The 26,554-nt window shown below is 39.5% G+C and overlaps 1 long non-coding RNA gene across 3 annotated transcripts in view; it reads left to right on the top strand.

The window, feature by feature from the left end:
* Positions 1 to 26,554, top strand: part of COMETT (cytosolic oncogenic antisense to MET transcript) — a 124,434-nt gene that overhangs the window by 64,558 nt on the left and 33,322 nt on the right. Inside the window, exons 1-2 of one of the 3 annotated variants that reach the window (NR_120506.2) lie at positions 8,813 to 8,871; positions 22,536 to 22,679. The exons of the other annotated variants lie outside the window; for them this stretch is intronic. This is a non-coding gene — a long non-coding RNA (cytosolic oncogenic antisense to MET transcript). Of the gene's footprint in view, positions 1 to 8,812; positions 8,872 to 22,535; positions 22,680 to 26,554 lie in introns of those variants that run through there. 3 annotated transcript variants of the gene reach the window in all.

Genomic DNA, 26,554 nt, shown 5'->3' with positions numbered 1-26,554 from the left:
TCAGGTAACAATGTATCTTTCTAGGTACTCTTGCTGTCAGATTTATTTGTAGCCACTTAAAGGAATTAGTAAAATGGTTTAAATGAACATGGAAATACTCAAGAACAATCTGCAGTTCTTAGCTCTGGGATGTAGAGATGAGAAATACCTTCCCTGTCCTTCAAGTAACTCATAATATAGAAGGGAAAATGGAAAAGAAAGATGAACAGGAACATAAAACCCAAATTATAATAAAACACAATGCAGGCACTGCAGCTGCGGCAGGCATGGGATATGCACTCCTTCACTGGGGAGCATGCTTGAAGGTTTCCTGGTGGAGCTGTCACTTGAACTGAGTTTTGAAAGACACATCTAGGTATTTCTAGATGAGACAGCAAAAAGTACAAGGCAAGAGAGAAGAAAGTGGCAAGAACTCCAGTGTGCCTATAACAAAGACTGTGGAGGGAGTGAATCTGGAGAACTCATCGGGACCCACGTTGTGAAGGACTTTGCTTGGATGCAAGGAGATTACACTTTGCTCTAGGGAAAACTGAGAAAGAATCAAAGGTGAGAAGCAGGGGAGTGAAAAATTGAATTTGCATTTGTGGAGAGATAGTATATTGAACATCTGGCTGGATAATATCACATTGGTGCAAAAGTAATTGTGGTTTTTGCAATTACTTTCAATGGCAAAACTGCAATTACTTTTGCACCAACCTGATAGTCTGAGATATTAGCTGACGTTGTTTCTTTCTTTCTTCTTGCAATTCTCTTTCTCTACCGCTTGCCTGCCTTATGCTGCCAAATTCAGACCCCTGGCTCTGTGTTCATTGGCTTAGAGTTGCAGCAAGAAACAGGGTCACCAAAACCAGAGAGATTGTGTCTCTGAAACCTAAACACTTTATGGAGAGTTTTTCCACCAAAACTGGTGGAAAAGTAAAAGAAGGGATTTAAGATTTCTTTCAGACTAACGAGATTCTGACCCTGTATGAGTTAAGAATTTCTGTTTTGTGCTCTATGCATTTTCTCCCTTTCTCCGTTTCTAGAAGGTGGTCAGGATTTTGTGTTTCTTTGCCTAAGGGAGTTTGGGGTCTTAACATTTAAAAGCTGAGTTGCCAGAAGAAACAAATCTTTTCTGAGGGAGCCCTTATATTGTTAAGGGAAGGGGAGAGAAGAGAAGCAAGAGATTTTCCAACCTAGCAAAGGGAGTAGAAGTCTTTAGGATGAATGCAGACCTCACTCCATTCCCTTATACAGTAGTCCCCCCTTTATCTGTGGGGGATAAGTTCCAAGGCCCCTAGTGGGTGTCTGAAACCGTGGATAGTGCCACCTGTCTACACTATGTTTTTTTTTTCTATACATACCTACCTACGATAAAGTTTAATTTATAAATTAGGTACAGTAAGAGATGAACAACAGTAACTAATAAAATAGAAGAATTATAATGATATACTGTAATAAAAATTGTGTGCATGTGGCCTCTCTCTCTTTCTGTCTCAAAATATCTTGTTATACTATACTTAACCATTTTTCTTCTCGTGACTGTGCGAGGTGATAAAATGCTCACATGTTGAGAGGAAGTGAGCTGAATGACGTAGGCATTGTGACATAAATGGAAATTTTCAGAAATAAACAACTGTTAAGTTTTAAATTGCACACCATTCTGAGTACCAATGATGAAATCTTGCTCCACCCTGGTCTGTCCTGCACGGATTGCCATTAGTCACTTAGTAGCCATCTTGGGTGTAGATTCACTGTCATGGTATCACAGTACCTGCATTCAAGTCAACCTTATTTTACTTAATGATGCCCTCAAAGGGCAAGAGTAGTCACGTAATATTTTCAGACTGCACTTGACTGCAGGTAACTGAAACTGCAAAAAACAAAACCATGGATAAGGGGGACTATTGCAGTGCCCCAGGAAGCTGGCACCATTTAGGCTGAGCTCATGCTTCTGGGTCTACCAGTCTCAGCAAAGATCCCTATGCTTAGGGAGAACTCACTGGGCCACCAACCTTCAAGATATAGGGTTTTAATTGACATAAACCTTTTGGGACTGTCATATAATCCTGGAGAAAGAGAGTTGGGGAGACTAGAAGAAACTCAATAATAACCAAGAATAAAAATTTCTGCTCAGAGTTAGATTTAACTAGGCTTTAGAAAAAAATGATTTGACTTTTCATCCATCCTCAAGTTAGTAGATCAAAATTCACACCCATTGCACATTATAGAATCATTTATGTGGTGTGTTGAGGAGGAAGTACTAGAAAACATCTGAACTGGAGATAGGCAATTGGTTAGGAGGCTTATACCAAAAGTCAAACTAAGAATGACAAGAGTCTAAACTCAGGCAGGAGCTCTGGGACTGGGGCAAAGTTGGTGGACAGGAGAGATGCTCAGGAGGTGAAATTCAAAAGGGGAAGGGTTTCAGTCAGGGCCTAGTCAGGAGACGGAAGCCACACAGTGATTAAACAGGGAAAGTTTAATAATACAATCATATTAATCAGTAGCACAGGATTAAGTACTAAGAGGTAAAGAGAGCTAAAAAAAATAAAGGCATAGAAGACATGAGAAGGAGCCATTGCCCCTGAGAATGAGGCAGAACAGTCAAGGAAGGAACACATTTGGAAAAGCTCCTACCTACAAGGCTGAGATTCAGATCTTGATAGGGAGGATGTTTCTGTATCCACTGGTTGGTGAAGAGGTTTGCTGAGGTGTTGCAGCCTGAGGCTGGCAAGCAGGAAATCACCTGCTAGGATGCTGACCGCACCTGCCATCAAGCTGGCCTCTGGGTTCTGGTGAAATTTGTTGGGAGGCTACCTGTAGGGTTGCTGCTGAACATGCCAGGAAGCCACTTTCCAGCCCTTCTGGCTGGGAAGCTGGCTGTGGCACCAGTGGCACTGTCTGGGAAGCTGTCCATGGGGAGGCTGCTGAGCACCACTGTGTGTCCTTTATACTGGACAAGCACCACAGGAGCAAGAAGAGAGAAAAGAAAACTGGAACCAAGAAGAGAAGCCCCTTCCTTCTTCAGTCTCCACTTATCTTCACTGACAAAGCTTCACTTTGGGCTGGCTGGCAGAGGAGAAATATTTATAAGATCCAGCTCCAGGATCATCAGCAGGCAATGAAGGGTAGGTTTGGAGCTCAGAGGCAATAGATTGATAGCTGGTGTGCCATTGGGGGGCCTCTAAGGTGACTGCAGTGGTCTGAATGTTTATGTCCCTCCCAAATTCATAGGTTGAAATCCTAACCCTCAAAATCATGTTATCATGAAGCGAGGTTTTGGAAAGGTGATAATATCCCTCATGAATGAGATCACTGTCCGTATAAAAGAGGCCCCAGGGAGCTCCCTGTTCCTTCCATCATGTGAGAACACAGTGAGAAGGAGCCATCTATGCACCAGGAAATAGACCCTCACCAGACATGGAATCAGTTGGCCTCTTGATTGTAGACTTCCCAGTCTACAGAACTGTGAGAAATAAATTTTTGTTGTTTTTAAGCTACCTCATTCATTGTATTTTGTTATAGGAGCCAAAATGGACTAAAAATGATTTATAGGTTTTTAGCTTGAGTGACAGGATTTTGGGAAGAATTTGATGGATTTGGGTCACATTTTTTGAGTCCATAAGATTGCATGTAGAATGAAAATGGGACATGACTGATAAGGGAAACATGGGAATACCAATATTTTAAGGGTAGGTAAAAAAGACACCTCTGAAATAAATCAAGAGGAAGGAAAGTTCTAGGGGGTAAAGTTAGGAAGGAGTGGTGTTATGGAAGCCAATAGAAGAGAGATTTAAAGAGAGAAAGGAGTAGTGAATAGTGCGAAGTGCTGCAGAGAGGCCAAGTAAAACTAGGAACTGAAATTGCAATACAATTTAGGAGCTGGGAGATCACGTACAGAACCTTATTCCGTAAAGCACAAGTGTTAAAAGTGAATAAAGGAGTAAGAGGATTGGACCATGCAGGTTTAGCAAGTTATTGCTCTAAAGTTTTGTAAGATGAAGTGAGGTATAAGGTGCTATGACTATTTTCAGGGTGGGGGCTTGTTTTAGAGTTTGAAGAAAGGCATATAATACAAATAATTGTAATACAAGTATACTGCAGTGAACGTTGTATGAAACTACAAATGAAGTGTAATTGGAACATGAGGATGGAAGAGCTTATCTCAGGCAGAAGGCATCATAAGAGGTCTGTGGTAGGAGGATGCATTGAAGTAGGGCTTTGCAAGATAGGCAGAGTACAGGAGGCACAGAATAGAAAAACTGAAAACACTGAGGGGGAAAAGTATAGGACAGGTGGGATGATTGTGAAGTTTGACCTCTGTGTGATATGTCAAATGGCAAATATTCAGAGTACTATTGGAAGTGGAAGTGCAAAGAAAGGAATTTTTATATAACTGTTGACAATTTAACAAGTACTCTATAGACAATGCCTAGAAAGTCCAATGTATGCTGTCAGGACTTGACTAGCACTGTGTCTAGTGAGAGTGCTGAGGACAGTTACACGGGGGGCTGATTGGATGAATGAGAAACTGGGAAGAAATATGCCAAGTCAGGGGATTACTGAGGTGGTACTGGTCCAGCCCAGGAATCAAAAGCTTTAATTGGAGAGTAGCTGAGAAAATAGCTCAGAGGGGAGGTAAAGGTGTTCTGCAAATTAAGTGACAAGAAATAGTATTGAGATGTTGAAATCTAGCAGACAGGGAAGTATACGCATTAGTTTACACAGATTGCTTTAGAGATGATGATGCCAATTAGCAGAGATGGAGAAGAATATGGATAGTTTTGGCTTGGGCAGAGTTTTAGTTTTGGACAAACTAAGTAATCTTAGGAGATTAGAAAATTTTGATTCTCATCTCTCCCATCTTTCACACAGTGGCTACAATATACTGGGTGCTCAATATATGTGAGTCACTATGTGAAGAACTTGAAGAATAGGCTCTCATCTGGGTCTCAAGACTACTTCTGAGGTTCTTTCTGTTTTACATGTAAGGAAGTAGAACCTAAAAGAAGAAGTCGTATGATAGATATCCTATAGCCAGTAAGTGTCAGAGCCAGGATACAAGGCCAGGTTTCTCTGAATCCAGGCCCAGGCTTACCTAATACATATGGCTATACTTTTGTGTATGTTGTTCCCTTAATCAACTAACTTGTAATTCCTGGTGACCAGGAGTCACATCTTGTACTGCTTGATGCAAATCACTAAGCTCTCAAATCACTAAGTACTAGACTGTCTGCATTTAAGTATTCAATCAGAATCTGTTGAACAAGTGAATGCTGAAGTCCACTTAATGGTCTCTGAGGGGCTTGGAGAAGTCGAAACTCCCATATTTACCAAATAAATATGTTCTTGTACTTAAGAAAATACAGCTGCTTAACTCAGTTGGTTCGAGCGTGATATGAATGAGGCCAAGGTCATAGGTGTAATTCCCTTGTGGGCTGTTTCACTTGGGACACTTTTTATGCTCTCAATCTTAAATAGAGTTTCTGGCAAATGCAAATACATACAATTTTCCCCAAGGGAACCAGGGAAGAAAAGAAGAAAGAAAGAATCGGTGCCAATTCATCACTACTGCTGGAAAAACAACTTGAATAATATTACCTACTCCTGGTAGGTCACTGGTGTGCTTTATGTTTACATATGAAGAATTGTTCATAATTATGATGTGCTGTGCTTGAATTTGTTATACTAAAATACAAATTAGGACACGCACATTAAATAGAAGAGCATATATTAATTTAAACAAAACATTAAAATTATTTCTTGAAGACTTTATAGCAGAAGAAAATATCCTTGATTCTCTTAAAAATGAATTTGATTTATTCATAAGAATACCTTTACTAAATTAGGTGATATATTCCTGAAGAGTTCTCTAGTCATTGCGTTATAAGACATTTGCTTTTGGAAGAGAGAAAAGGAAGAAAGAAACTTAGCATATAATGTATTGTGCTGGAAAGGTTATGATGGTTCAGGACAGATGTTCCCTTAATATACAGCTTACTTTCTGTGTGATCCAGGATGATTTATTTAGTCTTTCTGTGCCTCAGTATTTTACCTGTTAGAATATCCTGTGGACCCTACAGGGTTGTTCTGAGGGTCTAGTGAAATGATCTGAGTGAAGCACTTCACACACAGGTGGTCTTTTAAAAAAAAGTTCCCTCCCCTCTTTATGTCTCAAAACACTTCCGAGTTTATTTCTCTGAATTGTAAGTGGTGTGAATAATTAGGAAAATTGTTGTGAAAAAAGTGGTATCATTTAAAAAATACCTGTGTTATGTTAACATCAAATATATCTTTTAAATGGTTGACATTTGTTCCCAAGAAATTTTTATTTTGGTTGGTTCTCCATATGGGCAATTTTTGTTTTAGAAATAAGAAAGTATAACTTCCTGTAATGATTTTGCCTTTCCTTTTGGCAAAGGTGAATTTTAGTTTTTTTCTGATGTAATGTAAATGACATTGTAATGCAAACAGTAGGCTCTTTGAAGAACAATAACTTCTCAAAATGGGCTTTGGAATGCAGAGGTTTTCATGGCACTAGCTGCTGGAACAATCATCTTTGTGAGTCATTCTACAGAGTAGAGTGTAGTTCATCTCCTTATCTGTAAAGAATAGGCTTCAAGATCAGGCATTATGTGTCTGCTTGGGTCAACTACCCTCTGTGTAACACCAATATTGTTCTCTTCAGCAAACAGGCAAATTGGCATCTTTGGAAAATTAGATTAATTGCAAACTCCAAAGGAAAACGGATTGACTAATGCAAGACTCAGTGCTTGCCAAATAAGGTATTTGGAAACGTTCATAGAAAAGAAGGACTCAGCCCACATCAACCTCTGGGCACCCAACTCTTTTTCTTTCCAATGATTCCATTCTTCAGCACAGAGCTTACATTGTGCTGAGCCTCTGTCCTCTGAGTGGTATCTATTAATCTCTGTTACTCATATTCTCATTTTTCTGACTAATGTTGCTCTAAGAAAATTTAGCAGAGGAAAAAATAAAAATATAGCCTGTGAGGGGAGTGATAAGGACAAATATATGAAATAGATGGAAGAATCAGAAAAAAATTCAGAGTGGAAGCATTAAGATGAAGAATTTAGGCAGTACAATTTGTCATGAGTTGTATTAACCAATAAAGAAAATGAGAAGTTTGTGGATTAATATTTTAAACTCATATCCTGAATTAGAAGCCAGCAAATCAATGCCAGGAATGAGCACATGTACTCTCAATTAGCAGGAGGGGGAAAAAAAGTGAGTTAGTTAATCTGCTTTAGAACCTACCTTGGTTCAATTTTGCATTCTGATCAAACAATTTCAAACTAGTTGTCATTTACTCTTAAATTGCTGGTACAAGAGGTTTGCTGTAAATAGAAGTACTAATTGCACAGACTTGAGCCAAGCACACATACTGTATGCTGGGTATATTTGTCTTTTGCTGTATAGCTCTGCCAACGAACCTGCTCCTGCTGTTTCTACCCTTTCCATTCTTGGGCACAGCATACTCATTTACTAAGCTCTCTGGTGTGCATGTAGGTGTGAAGGTATGTGTGTGTGTGCATGTGGTATGTGTGTGTAGATTCTTATAAATAAATAATAGCATGAGCATTCAAAACAATTACCTTTCATTTGTTCTTGGGACTTCAAATCCCATTTCTCCAAATGGGGAAGCCTACTGTGCTAGCCTAATGAGCCACGGATGTCCTGTTGTCATTTTCACTCTTTCAAGATGGCTTTTGTCTCTCTTCAGTTTCACTACTTTCCATAAAAAGTACAAAGGGATTGGCTATTATATTGCTCTCTATTCCCACCTCTCTCAAGCTACTGCTTGTCACTGAGCAATAACTGAGAGAACTCTTTATGCGAACTAGATGGAATTACTGATAATCGGGGGTTGGGGGTCAGGTCTCAGGTTGGGGCAAGACTCAAAGCTGTGCTGAAACTGAAAAGGGCATAACCACCTAAATCTAACTGCATACATCCTTCCAGGAAATTCTTGGAATGTGAATTTTATAAGTTATGAAAGGAATTGTAAAGAAATGATTTACACATGCCGTATACCAATTGGCAGGAGATGATGTAGTGTTCTTTTCTTATTTCTTAAAAAATCCAGCTTACTAAAAATATTTTCATAATGTAGATTCACTGCAGATCGTCAAGGATGAGCAAGTACATGGATGAATTGACACTGAACCCTGTTTTGACAATTTCCAGGGGGAGGCATCCTCATGCCCGTTCCCTCCATCAGGGGAGAGGTTAAACTTCCAAAGCCAGTGCATTAGTGACTGTTTACCTCAAAAGTATTTTGTTTTATTATGACATGCAGTATTCATCACCTAGACAACCAGCTCCTTGGGAAGGGCGTGCCAATCAAAGAAAGTCAAGATAAAGCTCAGAAGTCAACATTGAAAGTACAGGATTCAAATCAAATTAAAGAAACACTACTGAGATTGCTAACCATTTGACTTGTCTATTGTGTAGGTCTCAGACACCAGGAAACATGACTTTGCAGATATTTCCTCCTTAAATGAACCATCTGTGTATTTACTGGGTCCAGAATTAGCGTCTTTCCAAGTTGTTAATAAACTGAAATCTTTGACGCTACCTTCATCATGTAAATGTATTGTTTTCTGTAGTCAACTCTAAGGTCACAGAGGAGACTCCTAACAAATGAATTCTGTCTGGACACAAAGGAAAAATCGGAATTGGCAGATACTCTCTCGGTTACTCCCTGGTTGCAGTTAATGAGCAGCCTGTTCGCCTGCAGCCTTTAGACAGGGAACAAGGGGCACAGCTTTTCCCACTTTATTGGTTACTGACTGGGAAAGAAGGATTCCACTAGCACTGCTTGGCTATCAAAGCTGGGCAATGTGATCCTCTAAGCCACATGTTTAGGTAAGTGCAATAGGTCTTTATACAATTTCCTTGTTTAATTGGAACTGTTTAGGTAATCCTTTTTCATGTCCCTGTCTCTACTCTAAATAAAGATGATCTTAGAGAATCAGAACTCTCCCCATCTAAACTTCACATGAAATTTGAACATGAACTCAGTCACTGGACATGGAAGGGATGGCTGGCATCCGTCCCATCAGAGGCACCACTATTTATTAAGGGTCTTCTGGCTTATGTATTTAGTTGCACTTGAGATGCCAGCATTTTGGGAAATTTGAAACTACAAAGGAGAAGGGCAGGGTTTTGTTTGTTTTTTTAAGCAGGTATTTCAGGAATACTGTGTTTCGTGACTCAAATCAGAAGTTAACTTTGAAAAGTAAAATTGCTTTCCCCCCAGCCATTCACATTTGTGATCAACGGATGCAGTTTTATCAGAACTATCATCTCTTAAAGGGAAGACTCTCTGTATAGACAAACACTCAAGAGATCGTCTGGGTTTCCCTTCATTTTGTAGAGTTGGTTTCACATTGATGTTCTTAAATGTCCAAACCCAGACTGTGTATAATTGAGTGAATTAGCAACCTGTACTTTTAACAAGTCAAAGCACTTAATTTTACTCCTTTTTATTCTTCCTTTCAAAGATTATAAATAATAATTTTCTAAATTACCTAGCACTTTTAAATAATCCCACTTAAAATCTTCATTCAGCTAGTAGTTCTTCCATTGCTATCCATTAGCTTTTAATACATAACATATTTTTTGCTCATCACCATGTACTGACATATAGAAAATACTTAATAGTTAAAAGTCTTTTCTACTTGCTCAGGTCCTATGACCTTTGTAGCATTTGACACAGTGAACAGCCACCCTCTGCTTATCCTACCATTATATTCTCCCTCCTGTGGTCGTGTAGACACTTGGCTCTTTCCTTAGTCTTCCTTTGTAATTCTTTCATTATTTTTTTCCGTTTTACTTATCTGCTGTACTTCTTTACTTGACACACAAGTCCACAGTGGAGGGGAGCAGTGAGGTGGAAGGTGCTGGATGGCCACAGAGCCTTATCAAAGTCCTTTCCGTGGTAGAGTGATCATTGCCTAGAGCCTTTTGGGATTAGGAATCTGATAACCTTAGCTTCAGAAATTGATCATACATTCTTTATCCTTATGGAAAATTTTACCAGAAATGGGTTCTTTCAGCTGGATTAAATTACATTCAATGGCAGTGAGATATAGAGGAGCCAAGGGAGCTGGATATTCCTGTCTTCTGGTCAATGCATTCTGTCTTTGAGGCAAGGGTAGGGAAGCCACGTTTTACCATTAGCAGGCTGCATAGTGAGCACGGGACAGGAAAATGAGGAGCAGCCTATGCAATTTATTTTCACAATAAGGATGTGTACTCTTTTTTAATTTTTAATTTTTTTTTTTTATTTTTTGAGACAGAGTTTTGCTCTTTTTGCCCAGGCTGGAGGGCAATGGCACGACCTCAGCTCACTGCAACCTCCGCCTCCCGGGTTCAAGAGATTCCCCTGCCTCAGCCTCCCAAGTAGCTGGGATTACAGGCATGCACCATCATGCCTGACTAATTTTTTGTATTTAGTAGAGACGGGGTTTCACCATGTTGGTCAGGCTGGTCTTGAACTCCTGACCCCAGGTGATCACCCTTCTCGGCCTCCCGAAGTGCCAGGATTACAGGCATGAGTACCATGCCCCGCCAGGATGTGTATTCTTGATATGAATTGGAAAGGGTGAGTTTTGAGGCCCGTGTTTCTTCTACCCATGGGTAGTGCTTGGAGCTTGGATGAGCACTGCCACTATTCACCTCTGCAATGTTCTTTCATCTCTGCTTCATTAGCTGATTCCCATGATGCCATGTCCTACTTTATGCCCCGCTTGCACCTTGCTCATATCCCCACACCCTCATTATTCCTTAAGAATGGTCTTTCTTTAGGGTGTAGTCGTATTTTAACGGGTATAGGGACTCTTCTATCCTCTGAGTGATCAGAAGCAGATTACATAAAGGATAATTAATTTAATTTGTGTAATTCTCACTTATATTTCCATGATTTCCAAAGAAAATAATGCTTACTGTAAGTACCCCTTTGCCTTCTTTCTTTGTGCTTTTTGTCAGGCAACGTTGTATGGTCAAAGGATTTTACAAAATTTCAGAGGCAGATCTCTCTGCCTCTGGGTGGCTATAGATTTGGGGCAAGTTATTTTTACTAATTGAGCTTCAGTTTTTCATTAACAAAATAGATCATAGTAATACCTATGCTTAAATGACTTCAGCAATGCGGCTCATTCCCAGGGTCTCATCTGTATCCATATTATTCTTCTTAGGTCCAGACTGGTTACCAGTTGCTTACTAGAAAACCTCACCTGATGTTTCACTAGCAAATTAAACTCAAAATGTTCTTAAAGTGAATCTTCTCTCCCTTTAACACCGTGATGCTTCTTCTCTGGAACAGAGTATTGGGTGTTGAGTGGGATTTATTTCAAAATTGTGATTCAGGCTCAAAGCTGCGAACAAAAAATGCTAAATATTGCCCACATTTTATTTATTTATTTTTTTGAGATGGAGTCTCATTCCATCGTGCAGGCTGGAGTGCAATGGTGCTATCTTGGCTCACTGCAACCTCCACCTCCCGGGTTCAAGCAATTCTCCTGCATCAGCTTCCTGAGTAGCTGAGTTTACAGGTGTGTGCCACCACGCCCAGATAATTTTTGTATTTTTAGTAGAGACGGGGTTTTGCCATGTTGGCCACACGGGTGTGGATCTCCTGACCTCAGGTGATCCACGGTCCTTGGCCTCCCAAAGTGCTGGGATTACAGGCATGAGCCACTGCGACAAGCCAATAACCCACATTTTAAATGCATGGAGCATACCATTAGGAGTTGGGCACTTTCCCTGAGGGTTTGATGAACTGTTTCAGTTGAGTCAGCTGTGTTCCAAGCCTTTCCCACCTCCCCAATTTTTCACTTGCCTCCATCTCTCTCCACCTTTTTTGCCATCCTTGTCCCAGCAGCAACAGGAAATTATAGAATTTGATTTGGAACCATTGAGTAAAAATACTTCTGCCTCCTCTGTCCTTCCTTGTCACCTTTAGACCAGAAGGGAAGCACTGGCAAAGGTGGGGTAGGTGTAGCAGTTGTGTGTGAAAGAGTTCAGGCCCCCAACCTCTACTCCAAGCTATTAGAACTGCAGGCCTAAGATGCGATTGTGAGAAAAGGGTGTTTGAAAGAGAGATTTAAATTCACGTGATACTGAGATTTCTAAATTACCAGGACTGAATTTAAGGAAACAGAATGAGATTGTTCTGAGAGTAAAAAACGTTAGAAGAAAGTCAGACACCAAAGGGAAAGAATGTGAAGCAACAGTGTCTTCAATACTTTGCTAGAGGGAAGTAAATTGATTAAGGATTTTGGGATTATTTTGTAATGTTGAAGATACTCAGACCCTATGAGCCAGCAATTCTACTCCTAGATATGTAGTCAAGATAAGCTCATAATTACACACACAGGCCACAGGTACAAAAATGTATCTAGCAACACTGTTTGTAGCAGTAAAAACAATGAAAAAAACATGATAACAGAAATGTTCATGGAAAAAAGAGAAAATGAATACATAAATAAATGACTGTGGATCACAAAATGAAATATTATACAGCAGTGAAAAATGAATGAACCATAGCTATATTCAAAAATAGGGATGAATAGTAATAATATGATATTGAGTTAAAAAATCCATCCCTAGAAGTTTATACATAAGTTGATCGCTTTGTCTTAAACCAACATTTGTGATCAATTATTATTTAAAATCAAGAGAATGATAAACATATTTTGGGGTAATTGTCATGGTAGGTAAGAGGACGCCAAAGATGGAATGGGGAGGCAAACATAGATAGATGTAAGTTTTTTTCACTATTCTAATTATTTGATTGGGTAATTGATTTATGAGTATTGATTATATTACTAATAAATGTAAAATAAATAAAAAGAGGGCCATGAATGATGCCAATATATAATGAAACATGTATGCTGCTTTATCCAATGTTGTGCTCTTGAAGTAAATGAAGAAAGTAAATAGAAAAAAAAGTTATGAAGTCAAATGGGGAGGAGATGATTGATGGAGCATAGCTGAAGGCAGTTACTGGAAAAAATTAAGCTGTTGTCCCAATAAGTTGAGGCTTCTCAATGAAATATTTCCCAATGCATGAAACTGCCATTCTCTCAATTGCCCCGATTTAAAACTGAGTCATCTTCTTTATCGCATTATCCAGTCCAGTGTTTTTAAACCACAGGTCATGACCCAGTAGATGAGGAAATTGGTTTAGTGGTTTAACCTCAGTTTTTAAGTAAAAAAAAGAAAGGGAATTAAACAATAGAAAACATTAGTGTGCATTACACATAGTAAGGGAAGCGTTTTTGTGAAATGTTTGTTTCACTGATGTATGCAAATGTGTATGTGTTGAATTATAATGTAATTAGAGGTTTGCCTTAGTCCATTTAGTTTTGCTAAAAAGGAATACCTGGGTCTCGGTAGTTTATAAAGAAAAAAGGGTTATTTGACTCACGTTTCTGTAGGCTGTACAAGAAGCATGGCACTGGTATCTGCTGGGCTTCTGGCGAGGATTTTTCTGCCGTGTCAAAACATGGTGGAGAAGGTCAAAGGTGAAGTGGGAATGTGGGAAGGGGGACTAAATAGCAGGAGGAAGTTTGCTTTATAACAATCCGCTCTCTTGGGAACTAATCCATTCTCTCAAGAACTAATTCCTTCTCGCCAGAAGGAGAACTCACTACTACAAGAACAGTGCTGAATCTTTATGAAGGATCTGCTCCCAGTTCTCAAAAACAAACACCTCCCACTAGGCCCAATCTGCCACTTTGGGGATCACGTTTGAACATGAGTTTTGGCGGGCATGAACAATCCATATCCAAACCATATCCAGATTACTTGTAAGGAAGTAGTTTTTGGTCACATATATAGGTCTGTCTGTATTGAATCTATTCCCTCCTTTCCTTCTTTCTGCCCCACCTGTAAGCAGGGTCTCCATTAATCCTCACCTGAGGATAATGTCCTTTTAACTGGCATCTTAATTCTAGCCTGACCTGTTTTCAAACTGCCACAATCCCTGGAAGAAGCTAGCTGAAACACCATTCTCATCATCACCTTTCTGCTCATAATCTTACATTTTCTATTGAAGTCAATAAAAACACCATCCCCCACTGTTAAAAACCCTCTGCAATATAGTCTGCAATATTGTCCAAACTTACTTTTTAAAACTTATCTACTGACACTCTTTCCGAAGCCTCTTTAAATACTTCACAGTTTCCTGTCATTCTTGCAGCACTTGTACATCTTACAGTAGTAATTTACATATATCTTGTCCTACCATTGGATTTCAAGCTCCTTGACATCAGTGCCTAGAATGGCACTTTGCATGTAGTTGCTGTCCAATACATATTTGTTCATGTGAGGAATGGAACTTGCAATATGGTCTTGGACTTCTTTCTATTTATTTTTAATACAAGAGCTTTTTTTAAAAAAATGTATACTGTAAGTTCTGGGGTACATGTGCAGAACATGCAGTTTTGTTACATAGGTATACACGTGCCATGGTGGTTTGCTGCACCCATCAACTCATCATCTACATTAGGTATTTCTCCTAATGCTATCCCTCCCCTAACTCCTCACCCCCTGACAGGCCCCGGTGTACGATGTTCCCCTCCCTGTGTCCATGTGTTCTCATTGTTCAACTCCCACTTATGAGTGAGAACATGCGGTGTTTGATTTTCTGTTCTAATACAAGAACATTTATAGCAGCTTTAATAATAACCAAACATAAGCCAGATATCCATCAATAGGAGAATGTATAAACAAACCGTGGTACATTCATACAATGAAATGCTTCTCAGTAGCAAAATGGAGTAAACAATATATGCAACAACATGGATGAGTCTCAAATACATTATGCTGGATGAAAGAAGCCAGACACAAAGAGTCCATATGGTAGGATTCTATATTTATGAGTTTATTGAATAAGCAAAGCTAATCTATGGAGGAGAAGAAATCATATCAGTGGTTCTTCTTAGGGAGTGGTGAGACAAGGATTGACTGAGAAATAACTTGGGAGAACTCTGGGGTAATGTAAATATCCTATTGGTAAAGTTCAGGTCACACAGATGAATGCACTTATCAAAACTCATTGACTATTGCATTTAAGATTTGGTGATTTCATTGTATAAAATTATCCTCAAAAAGATCTATAAATGTATATTAAATTCTAATTAGTAATGCATATTCTGAAGTACTTAGGAAGGAGGGTATTAATGTCGACAATTGACTTTGAAATGCATCAAAAAGGCCAAGCATGGTGGCTCATGCCTGTAATTCCAGCACTTTGGCAGGCCAAGGCGGGCAGATCACCTGAGTTCGGGAGTTCGAGACCAGCCTGGCCAACCTGGAGAAACCCTGTCTCTACTAAAAATACAAAAGTAGCCGGGCGTGGTGGCACATGCCTGTAATCTCAGCTACTTGGGAGGCTGAGGCAGGAGAATTGCCTGAACCTGGGAGATGGAGGTTGTGGTGAGCCAAGATCACACCATTGCACTCCAGCCTGGGCGATAAGAGCAAAACTCTATCTCAAAAAAAAAAAAAAAAAAAAAAGCATCAAAAAGTAAGATGGCTGATAGATGAGTAGAAGGATACATGGGGTGAAGAGAGAACAGATAAAGTACGTGTAAGAAAATGTTAATGACAGAATCTAGGTTATATGGGTGTCAACCCATAACAATTTTCAAATTTTCTGTAGTTTGAAAATTTTTATAATGAAATGTTGGGTGGAAGAAGACAGGTAGAACAATTTAAATTGCCTCCTGATTTATGATTCCTGATGAGTAATTGATTTTTTCTCTCTCTGTGATGAAAAAGTCAGTCTTCCCTTATGGCTCCAGGGATGACTGGAGGATGGGATATAAGGAAAGTCCTTTCAGAGAGTTAGGGGGTAGCAGGAGTTTGACTAAGACAAAGAGGGGAATGGGTGGGAGGCAGATGGTGGGAGCGTGGGGGAATATACCAGTCAGGGTTCACCCAGAGAAACAGAACCAGTAGGAGATATATAATAAGAGATTTACCACAAGGAATTGACTCAGGCAATTATGGGGGCGGGTAGGCAAGTCTGAAATCAGTAGGGCAGGTCTTTGGGAAAGGAAGGCTGAAAGCTCTCAAGCAGGAGCTGAAACTGCAGTCTATGGGCAGAATTTCTTTTTCTTTGGTCTTAGATTTCTTAATGACCCTAATTTTGAGTTAATTATTGGGAGCAGTAGGAAATCTTTAAATGAGTTTGCACTATTATAAATTCTCAAATTTGCCTTTATAGAATTATATTAAATGGCTTGAATGCAAATGTCATCTGACTTTTCCCAATTATTGATAATTCACATTATATATAGCTAAAGTTATTAAAAGTGAGAAAAACTAAACATTTTTATAATTAAGGTTATACTCACATAGGGAAAATATAGAATTAAGACAAAATTAGAAAAAAAATACAAGCACTAGAATATTTTAGGTGACATAGCATTTATATTGATGAATTTGTTTCTTTTTACCTTATCCTGATTGATTATTTGATTAAGTTATTTAAAATTCACTTTCCTTATTTTTCCTTAGGAAAACAGCTAAGATTTTCCATTTTACAGCTATTACAAATGACTCCAACTTTTTTTTTTTTCTCAGCAAACCATAATAGAATAGTGAAATCACATAAAATAGAGAATCCAGAACCCATGTTAGTCTGTGGTTTGGACTTTTCCAATCAAACAACTAAGGAAAATTGAGCAGAATAATTTGAGCTAGATCTTCTCTTGCACAACTTACCCAAACTCAGTGGTTGAGATGAAAAGCAGCAAAATGGCTGAAATGCAGCCAAAGGAAAAAGATTTCAGAAAAACAAGGTCCTGGAAAAATCTATGATTTGGATTATCAATTCCTGAATCACCAAGAATTGGCTGTATTGAAACCCTATCAATTTTTAGTTTTAAAAAATTAACCATATTGTCTACTTGTTTTTATAAATCAGTTCTAGTCATTTTAAGTAAGATTTTGCAGTTTACGTGGTGAAGTTTCAAAGGATTTTTATTTTGGTTTATATAAAAATTTTCTGAATGGTTTCTGGGCACCAGGTTTTTCAGTTAGATAAGAAATTATTTAGCTACCCAGTCTTTGTTGTGTCTTTGAAGAAAAATAAACATTATTGAAGTCTTTGGCAGGTATTTTTATGCAGACATTAAAATTTTTTCCAATTCTGTTTTATAGGCCAGCTATAAGTCAAGCTATTTCACCTAATGAAATTTGCTTTGATCAGACGAGGCCAATCATCCTTCAAAGCATTGTTGTGTTTTGAGATGCAAGCAAGCACCTAATAAATTGTGGGTGCTGCAGTAGCAACAGATCAAAATAGAGGATGATGTTTCATTAGATCATAATACCTGACAAAGAATGACTGCGAATCAATGGGGGAGAGCCGTTACTACGTGGGTCAGAGTAGGCGGAAGGCCCACTTTCTCCTTCCTCTCCTTCATTCCCTTCCTCTTTCTCTCCTTTCTTCTATCCCTTTCTTCTTTTCTCCCCTCCTTAATTTGTTTCCCAGTTTTGCCAAAGTATTTTAGATTACAGAATAATGACTTAAGCCCAAATATTCCTCATCTTTCACTAGGCTTTTACAGTGCTAAGTATTACAGGGGGTTATAGGACAATAAGTCAGTAAACGGAACACTTTAAAAATAAATAATACATTTTAAGGTTTATAGAAAGCCTTTCATAACAACCCCCAAATAAATATGTATTTTTTTCTCTTGAGAAAAGGGTCTTCAAATAAGCTTTTTCAAAAGATGCAGATTCCTCATAGAAAATTTAAAATGTGGCTTTTGTAGTAAACTGTACAGATGGTACCTTAGAATGGTTTGACTTAACATTTTTTGACTTTACAAATGGAAGGAAAGCAGCATGCATTCAGTGGAAAGCGTTCTTTGAGTACCCATGCAACCATTCTGTTTTTCACTTTTGGTACAGTATTAAATCAATTACACACGATATTCAACACTTTATTATAAAATAGGTTTTGTGTTAGATCATTTTGCCTGACTGTGGGCTAGTGTGTGTTCTGAGCAGGTTTAAAGTAGGCTAGGCTAAGCTATGATGTTACGTGGATTAGGTGTATTACACGCATTTTCGACTTAAAGATATTTTTAATTTACAATGGGTTTATTGGGATGCAAACCCACAGAGGAGCATATGTTTATTTTCTCATTCCAAATAATGTCAAAGCCAGGTGCGGTGGCTCATGCTGTAGTCTCAGCATGTTGGGAGGCCGTAGCGGGCAGATCACCTGAGGTCAAGAGTTCAAGACCAGCCTGACCAACATGGTAAAACCCCAACATGGTAAAATTACAAAAACTAGCCAGGCATGGTGGCATACACCTGTAATCCCAGCTACTTGGGAGGCTGAGGCAGGAGAATTGCTTGAACCTGAGGGGCAGAGGTTGCAGTGAGCCGAGATCACACCACTGCACTCCAGCCTGGGAGACAGAGCTGGACTCCATCTCAAAAAAAAAAAAAAAAAAAAAAAAAAAACCCCATAAAGAAAAACATAAGAAAACATTTAAAAAGGTTAAATGATTGGGGAAAACTCATATTTTATATCATCAGTAGGAATTTTCTATGTTTCTTTTTTCTGATTACCAGAAATACAGATTACCTCACAAATTACAGACCAAACTCCTACTTAGAGCTACCCATCTCTGCCTCTGAGCTTGATTCAGCCAATTAATTCGCCATTATTTTTTGTTTCCAACAACCAATTCTTTTTCAACAACAACCAATTCTCTAACTCTCTGACACCAATTGGGTGTCCTACAATTCAATGCAATTCTGATGCTAACTACCTGGATCTAGTACAGACCCCACAAGTTAAGGGCTCAGTCCCATGCTCAATCCCTCACTCTCCACACTAGCTGCAAATGGGGCCCCAGGCTACCTACACTTTTGCCTAACTCATTACAAATTTGAGGGTTCCCACGACCGCCCCTCTCAGGTTCTATAATTCACTAGGATGATTCACACAACTCAGGAAAGCACTATACGTATAATTACAGTTATATTCTATAGGGTACAACTCAAGAACAGCAAAGTGGAAGAGATATATAGGGTGAGGTACGGAGGGTAGTGATGGTGGTGGTGGTATATCTCTGCTGATGGTACCACCCTGTCAATACATTGGTCTGTTCCCTGAATCTCATTTTTCAACAGTTTTTATCAATATTTCATTATGTTGATTAAATCACTGGTCTCTCTGATTGAACTCATCTCAGCCCCTTCCCTTCCCCACAGGTGGAGAAGTGGGGCTGGAAGCTCCAACCTAATTATGTGCTTGGTAGTATTTGATGATTCTGGAAACCATCTCCCATCCTAAGCTATCTAAGGACCCCAACACGAGTCACCTTATTAGCATAAACTCAAGTGTGGTAGAAAGGGGCTGTTTATGAGTAACAAAAGACACTCCTATCACCCAGGAAATTCCAAAGGTTTTAGGATCTCTGTGCCAGGAACTGGGGACAAAGATCAAAAATTCCTTTTTTTGTTATACCACAGGCAGGCACTCTGATGTAGGGTCCTGGTGTTATTTTCTATCTTAAATGTTAAGGCCTATTCCCTTAACTGGCACCACTTGCGATCAGTTCCATGTATTTACAGGAAACAAGGTTAAAATGGCCTGAGACACAAGGTCACTGTGAGGAGCAGACGTGATACCAGTACTTTCCTCAAAGGGTTCTTCTGAGTATTAATGAGCTATACATGTGAATTGCTCAGAACAGTGTCTGGCAGATAGTGACTGCTATATGTGCAGGCTATTATTATTATTTTTGTTGTTATTAGTATCATCACCACCGTCTTCATTTTGCACAGGAGAATACTGAAGCTTAGAGAGGTGAGATGACTTCTGTAAGGCCTCCACAGCCCTTAAATACCTGAAGCCAAGGTATAAACTCTACTTCCTAGATAAGAATTGGACATGACACTTTTAAGAGCTAGATTTGATTTGGGGGCCTCATTTTGGCCATGTTCTAATCAGCCGTAGAAACCTACATTGCATAGCACTTATTAGGCATGACATGCAGAGAGCTATCTAATAAATGCCTCTTGATGATGATTATGATGGGCTGTTACAGCTGCTCTCTGTGCGTACGATGCATTGAAGTAGCATAATCACTGTGTCTGTAGCTCGGAAATGGAACAAGAATTTTCCTGCATCACCTATTAGAGTCTTATAGTATAATGTAACTTGGACTGTGATGAAAATGAGTCTGTGGTGTAGTAATTTAATGGGATAGTTACACTGGAAGCCAAGTTCCGTTTTAGTTGCCTTAAATTTTACCTTTATTGTCTTATTGCTTTTTGCATCTGAGCTTGGCAGTTAATGGTCTCTGTAATAAATTCAAAGAGAGTTTAGAACAATGGAGGCTGAATTTTCCTTTTTTGTGTCTACGTAAGACATGACATTATTATTTGGGTTTTGCCCTAGCATTTTAAAAATCAACTTGATGCTTTTATCTTTCTGGCTATATAATTAATAATTTGTTAATTAAAATGTGGATTGGGTGCTGATAGCAGATAGCAATTTACACTTAAGAATTTGAACTGGGCCAGACGCAGTGGCTCATGCCTGTAATCCCAGCACTTTGGGAGGCTGGGGCGGGCAGATCCCTTCAGGTCAGGAGTTCGAGACCAGCCTGGCCAACATAGTGAAACCTCATATCTACTAAAAATATAAAATTTAGCTAGGCATGGTGGCAGTTGCCTGTAATCCCATTTACTCAGGAGGCTGAAGGGAGAATCACTTGAACCCAGAAGGCAGAGGTTGCAGTGAGCTGAGATGACACCACTGCACTCTGGCCTGAGTCACAGAGCAAGACTCTGTCTCAAAAAATAAAAAATAAAAGAATTTGAACTGAAGTCCCCAGCTCTGTTTCCCGTTTTGTTGCTACTTCTCTTTACCAACTTGTTAAAATTAGAAAAATACAAGTAAGTGAGAGACCCATATCTGCAACCTCTTATTTTGTTATGATTAAACTGAACTTCAAGCTCATTGCAAGTGTTGAAAAATGGAAGTGGCCTTGGAAACATTTTTGCCTGATTAAGAATGCTTTAAAACTACCACTCTGGTCAAGATAAATTGAAGAAAAGATATTCATTATGCTTGTGCTAAAAATCACAGCAGAGCTGTGTTCAGCCTGCAAACTTCTACCTCTTGCTTCAATCCTTTGCTTGATTTCTTTTATGCACAGTAGTACATAGAGTTGGAAGGAGCATCTTGGTGCATACAGCCTCCTTCTGTCTGCTTTGATACCATCTCCAGACCTCTGAGAAGATCTGGGTAGCATCTTTCTAGTTTCTAGATCTAGATAACTTCAAATGCCCCTCCCACTTTCCTTACTCTCTCCCTTCTCTCCATCTTCTCTCTGTCACTCAGGGAAAATGCAGTAGACATTCCAGTTTCTTTTTTATCATCACCTCAAATATTGACAAAATAATAGTCCCAGTTAAAGAAAAAAGCTATGATACAATTTACCGAAAGTAAAGACAGTTGTAGCCTTTGTCTCAGGTTACCTTTAACGCACTCCATTCGCAGTAAAATCACTGCAACGTTTTGTCTTTATTGGACTTCTACTTGTAAATAATTGATGAAAAATTACCTGCTAAGCATGAAACAAAGTGTTCAAAATGTTTAGAATTCATTGGGAGAAAGATGCTCTATAAATCAAATCAGTCATTGCTACTACAGGTAACATAATTCTGAAACTGAAAGTTGGTCCAACCACTGAAGGTGGCATTAAACCTCCATTACCTCAAGAGACAATTACTAAGCAGCCATCACACGCACCGGGGCCCTGGAAGTGTCACTGTGGGTGGCATGAGGAACCATAAACATAATCTCTGCTCTGAAGGGCTTAGCTGGGGAGACACAAGAAAGCTTTAATCATAACACATAAATCATGCAAGAATTAACATGAAGATGCCAAAAATGTTCTAAGTAGGGTACAAGATTTACTGGAGGCAGGCAGAGACTGAAGGCAGGCAGAGACTGGAAAATACCTTAAGCAAAAAATATTAGTGAGAACACGAGTTTCAAAAGCTACAATTTTTCTGTGTCAGCCAAGGTACATGGTTGCAAGCACCTCTGTTCACCATGAACAGAAGGAAGTTCACTGGATGAGAAGGGTGGGTGTTGTAAAATTTAAGATGTGTTTTTATGATGCCAGTCTGCGTGGATGGTCTGTAGCTTTTATCTTTAGGGCTATCATTTTGTCAATATTTGAGGGATGTATCAACTTGCAGAATAACACAGGACTAAAGGGGCAGGCTTGGAGAGGAAGAAACATAGGAATTTGGAGGTCTGTGTTGAAAAAAACCATAGTGTACTGAACAAGTTTATCTATCTATCTATTATCTATCTATCTATCTATCTATCTATCATCTATCATCTATCTATCTATCTATCTATGTATCATCTATTATCTATCTATCTATCATCTATCTATCTATCTATCTATCTATCTATCTATCTATCTATCTATCTATCATCTATCATCTATCTATTGATTTATTTTAAGGAATTGACAAACAATTGTGGAGGTTGGCAATTCCAAAATCTGAGGAGTAGGTAAACTGGAAGACTAGAGACCCTGGGAAGAGTTGATGTTACAGCTTGAATCTGAAGGCAGTCTGCTGGAAGAATCCCCTCTTTCTTGTAGAAGGTGAGTGTTTTCTCTATTAAGGCCTTCAACGGGTTGGGTGAAGCCCATCCACATTGTGGAGGGTAATCTGTTGTACTCAAAGTCTACTATCTTAAATGTTAATCTCATCTAAAAAATACGTTTACAGGCTGGGTGTGGCAGCTCACACTTGTAATCTTAGCATTTTGGGAGACTGAGGTGGGTGGATTACCTGAGGTCAGGAGTTCAAGACCAGCCTGGCCAACATGGCAAAACCCTGTCTCTACTAAAAATACAACAAAAACAAAAACAAAAACAAAAACAACAACAACAAAAAAACATTAGCCAGGCATGGTGGCAGGCACCTGTAACCCTAGCTACCTGGGAGGCTGAGGTAGGAGAATCACTAGAACCCTGGGGGATAGAGGTTACAGTGAGCTGAGATCGCACCATTGCACTCTAGCCTGGGTGACAGAGTGAGACTCTGTCTCAAAATATATATATATATATGTTCACAGAAACATCTAGAATAATTTTTATCCAAATATCTGGGTACCATGGCCCAGCCAAGTTGACACATACAGTTAACCCTCACTCATCGCAAGGTCCTCTTTGCAAGCCTGGGCTGGTTCGCCTGCCATCATTGACACCTGTGGGAAATCTGTCCATCAAGAATCAAAGTCCTGACTGGCCACATCTCAGTTATATGCCCACTTCCCCGCTACAGCTGGGTGAGGAGACAGAGGCTCTAGTCCTTTGGTTTTCATAGTTGGAGACTGGCAATATCTCCACCAGGAGGCTTCCTTTGAAGGGAGACAAGGTTGCTCAGGAAAAGGAAGGTGGAGTTCTGGACAGATGAAAAGCAAATGTCCACGCCACTTCCTTTCTTTGTGACCATATATTGCAAAAGTTCCTTATGTCTAAGCTATTTCTTCATTGAATCCTCCAGGCTGCAGATCTTGCTACTTATTTACTTGTTTATCATTTAACTATCTGTGCTAGAAGGTAAGTTTAATGTGGGTAAGGATCTTGTTTCTTTCGTTTATCGCCATTGTCTGCAGTTCCTAGAATCATGCCTCACACATAGTAGGTGTTCAGTATATATTTTCTTCATAGATAAGTACATGAATAAGTGTTTGACTATGGACAGTAGACAGTATGTAAATAAATATATAGATTAAATTTCCTGCCAGGCTTTAACTGCTTGCTACTATGATTTGAAAAATGATAAAAATGAGGCTATCAAAAAATTTCATACTTAGGTTTTTACTTGACAGAACCAAGAGATTTAGCAGTAGAAGTTCATTCATAACCATAAATACACACACACACACACACACACACACACACACACACACAAACCACCTGTGACATATAATACACAGATACATGTTAAACAAACAAGAATTTTCTGGTTTTATTTTTAAAATGTAGGTCTTTATGATGAGCAAGTTATGCATGTTTCTTTGCTTACACTTTATAGATTAATCTTTTCCACTATTTGGACAGTTTCTCATCTCTGCACTGTTATCTGTATAAAGGGGGCTATTTATTAAAAGTTCTGAATATAATCGAGACCTAAGAGAAAACTGTTTTGGCTTCATAAGAAATGAAAAACATCAGTAAGGTACCGATAAAGCGTTTTCCAGATGATCAGTGTTTTTCACTAAAGAAATGTTTTTCTATTTTCCATGGCAGAGAATTCCACATCCAAATGTTCCACTGTTGTCAGTAAAGGTTTCCCAGCCCAGAATGAACAATACTCAGTTAACAATAACCCAGTCATGTGTATATTGAGTTCTCAGCCAAAAATTATAATGTGAGAGACTCTTGCACTTGGATGATGTATGTGGCAGAATGCATTTGCCAGCATTTTGATGCTGTTTGCTGAGAATGACCAAAACCCTTGCTTTCAGGGTTTTCAGTCTCCTGGCCCCCCTGTTGAATTTCTCCCAGGTTATCTGTTGCTACATGACAAGTCACACCAAACCGACTGGGAGTGAAACAGCAGCCGTCTTATTGTTCTCACTGGTTCTGTGGGTCAGGAATTCAGACAGAGCACAAGCAGGGATGACTTCTCTATTCTTAGGTTTCTGGGACCTCAGCTAGGAAGACTCAAAAAGCCGAAGGTGGCTGGAAGGACTAGGGAATTGGAATCATCTGGAAGATCCACGTCTAGGGCTGGTAACATCTGAAAGGTCCATAGCTGGGGCTAGAACCATCCAAAGGGTTCACATTTGAGGACTGGAACCATCAGGGAGGCTTATGTGTGGGTTCATGGCTGGAATCCCCCAGACGGTCCACAAGTGGACCCTGGCCTAGGCTGACTGAGAGGCTGGACTGTGGACCACAGTGCCTCCTCGTGGCCTCTCCGTGTGCTTGGGCTTCTCCCAGCATGCTGGCTGGGTTTCCAGAGCGTTCCACATTCTGAACCTCAGAGAATCATTTTCTTTGAGAAACATGACATAGTGGAATCAGACATGGGTTTGAATCTCCACTGTCCACTAATTTGTTTAAAGAACTTGTGTGTGTTTTTTCTTTTCTCCTTCTCCTCCTCTTCCTTCTTGGTTAAAAACTTCTGTGTACTTCCTTTTTTTTTATATGTGTAAGGAGAATCTGGCAAAAAGGAAGGTAAACTTTTTTCCCCTACTGTAAGATGAACTATTAACTGTTTGGGAATAGCGTAGGTAATTTTGCTTAAGGAGCCCAGAAAACTTCTGGGAGGGCAGGGACAAAGAGTACTCACTGCCCAGTGAAATTTCCATCTTCCTACGATTCTAAGTTAGAAAACCTATCAGGGTGGACCACTGTTGCCTTGAGAAAGGCCTAGCGACAGGCGTAAATGATATGACTCCTAAAATAACATAATGATGAGTGTAGAAAGAGAGGAGCAGTGGGCTGGTCGCAACAACTGGTTGGGGAGCACGTTTTTGCCTTGGCAAAATTTCTACATGAACCACTTGAAAGGGCTGTAAGGTCGAGCTGGGATACTTGGGCTTGGACCCACTTTGACCAAACTTTGTGCTAGGGGAGAAGAGAGCAGATACCTTCTGCTCTTCCTTGACAGAGCTTGAGGATGGGGTGTATAGTTGTGGCAGAAATATAACTGTGGATAAAACAGGGCTGATGCTCTCTAGCCGTGGAAGAGCAGCTCTTCCAGCTGCCCGCTTTCTGGTTGTTCAGTGGCCTGCCACTTTCGAGGCACTACCAGGAGCACTGGCTAGCTCTGGAGCAGCATGCTTCTGGTATCAGTTATGAGATTTCCCCACGTGCTTCTGGCATCAGTTATGAGATTTCCCAGCCTTGAAATGGCACTTCTATGTTGTAGCTCCAGGAAAATCAATAGGTCTGGGCCTTTAAATATTTTAGATACTAGCAGAAAACTTTGAGCGTCTCAGGGAAGGGAGACTGAGGTTGGATGGAAAGTGACAGGTGGTGTTAGAGTCACGTGCTGGGGACCCTCCAACTTCCATAGGAAACTGCACGGATGGAAAGCAGAACAAAAATACCAACCTTACCTGTTGTTGTAAGGACTAAATAATACAAATAAATACGTATGTAAAGCGCCTAGCATAGAACTTGGCCTGTGTAAGGATCTCAATTAATATTATGTTCCTTTTCCATCCTTTTCCCTTTCTCATCTCTCCCTTCTTCCTTATGGGGGAAAGATCTCTGGGATCAGACAGACCTGGTTTTTGAACTCTGGTTCTTTTATTTGGTAGTTGTGAACTTGGGCCAGTCTCTTAACCTTTCTGAGGCTTAGTTTGGTCATTAGTGAATAGTTTAAAAATAGTTTTTTCATTTGTTTAGTAAAATTAAAATACAGCTTTAAAATGGAATAAAATAACATTTCCATCCCTTTTCTAAATCTTTCTCTTATCTTCTCTTTTCTACACAGAACAAAAATCCATGGTTGT

This window comes from Homo sapiens, chromosome 7 (assembly GCF_000001405.40).
Source record: "Homo sapiens chromosome 7, GRCh38.p14 Primary Assembly".
Lineage (NCBI taxonomy): Eukaryota > Metazoa > Chordata > Mammalia > Primates > Hominidae > Homo > Homo sapiens.
This window is presented reverse-complemented; position numbering and strand designations above follow the sequence as displayed.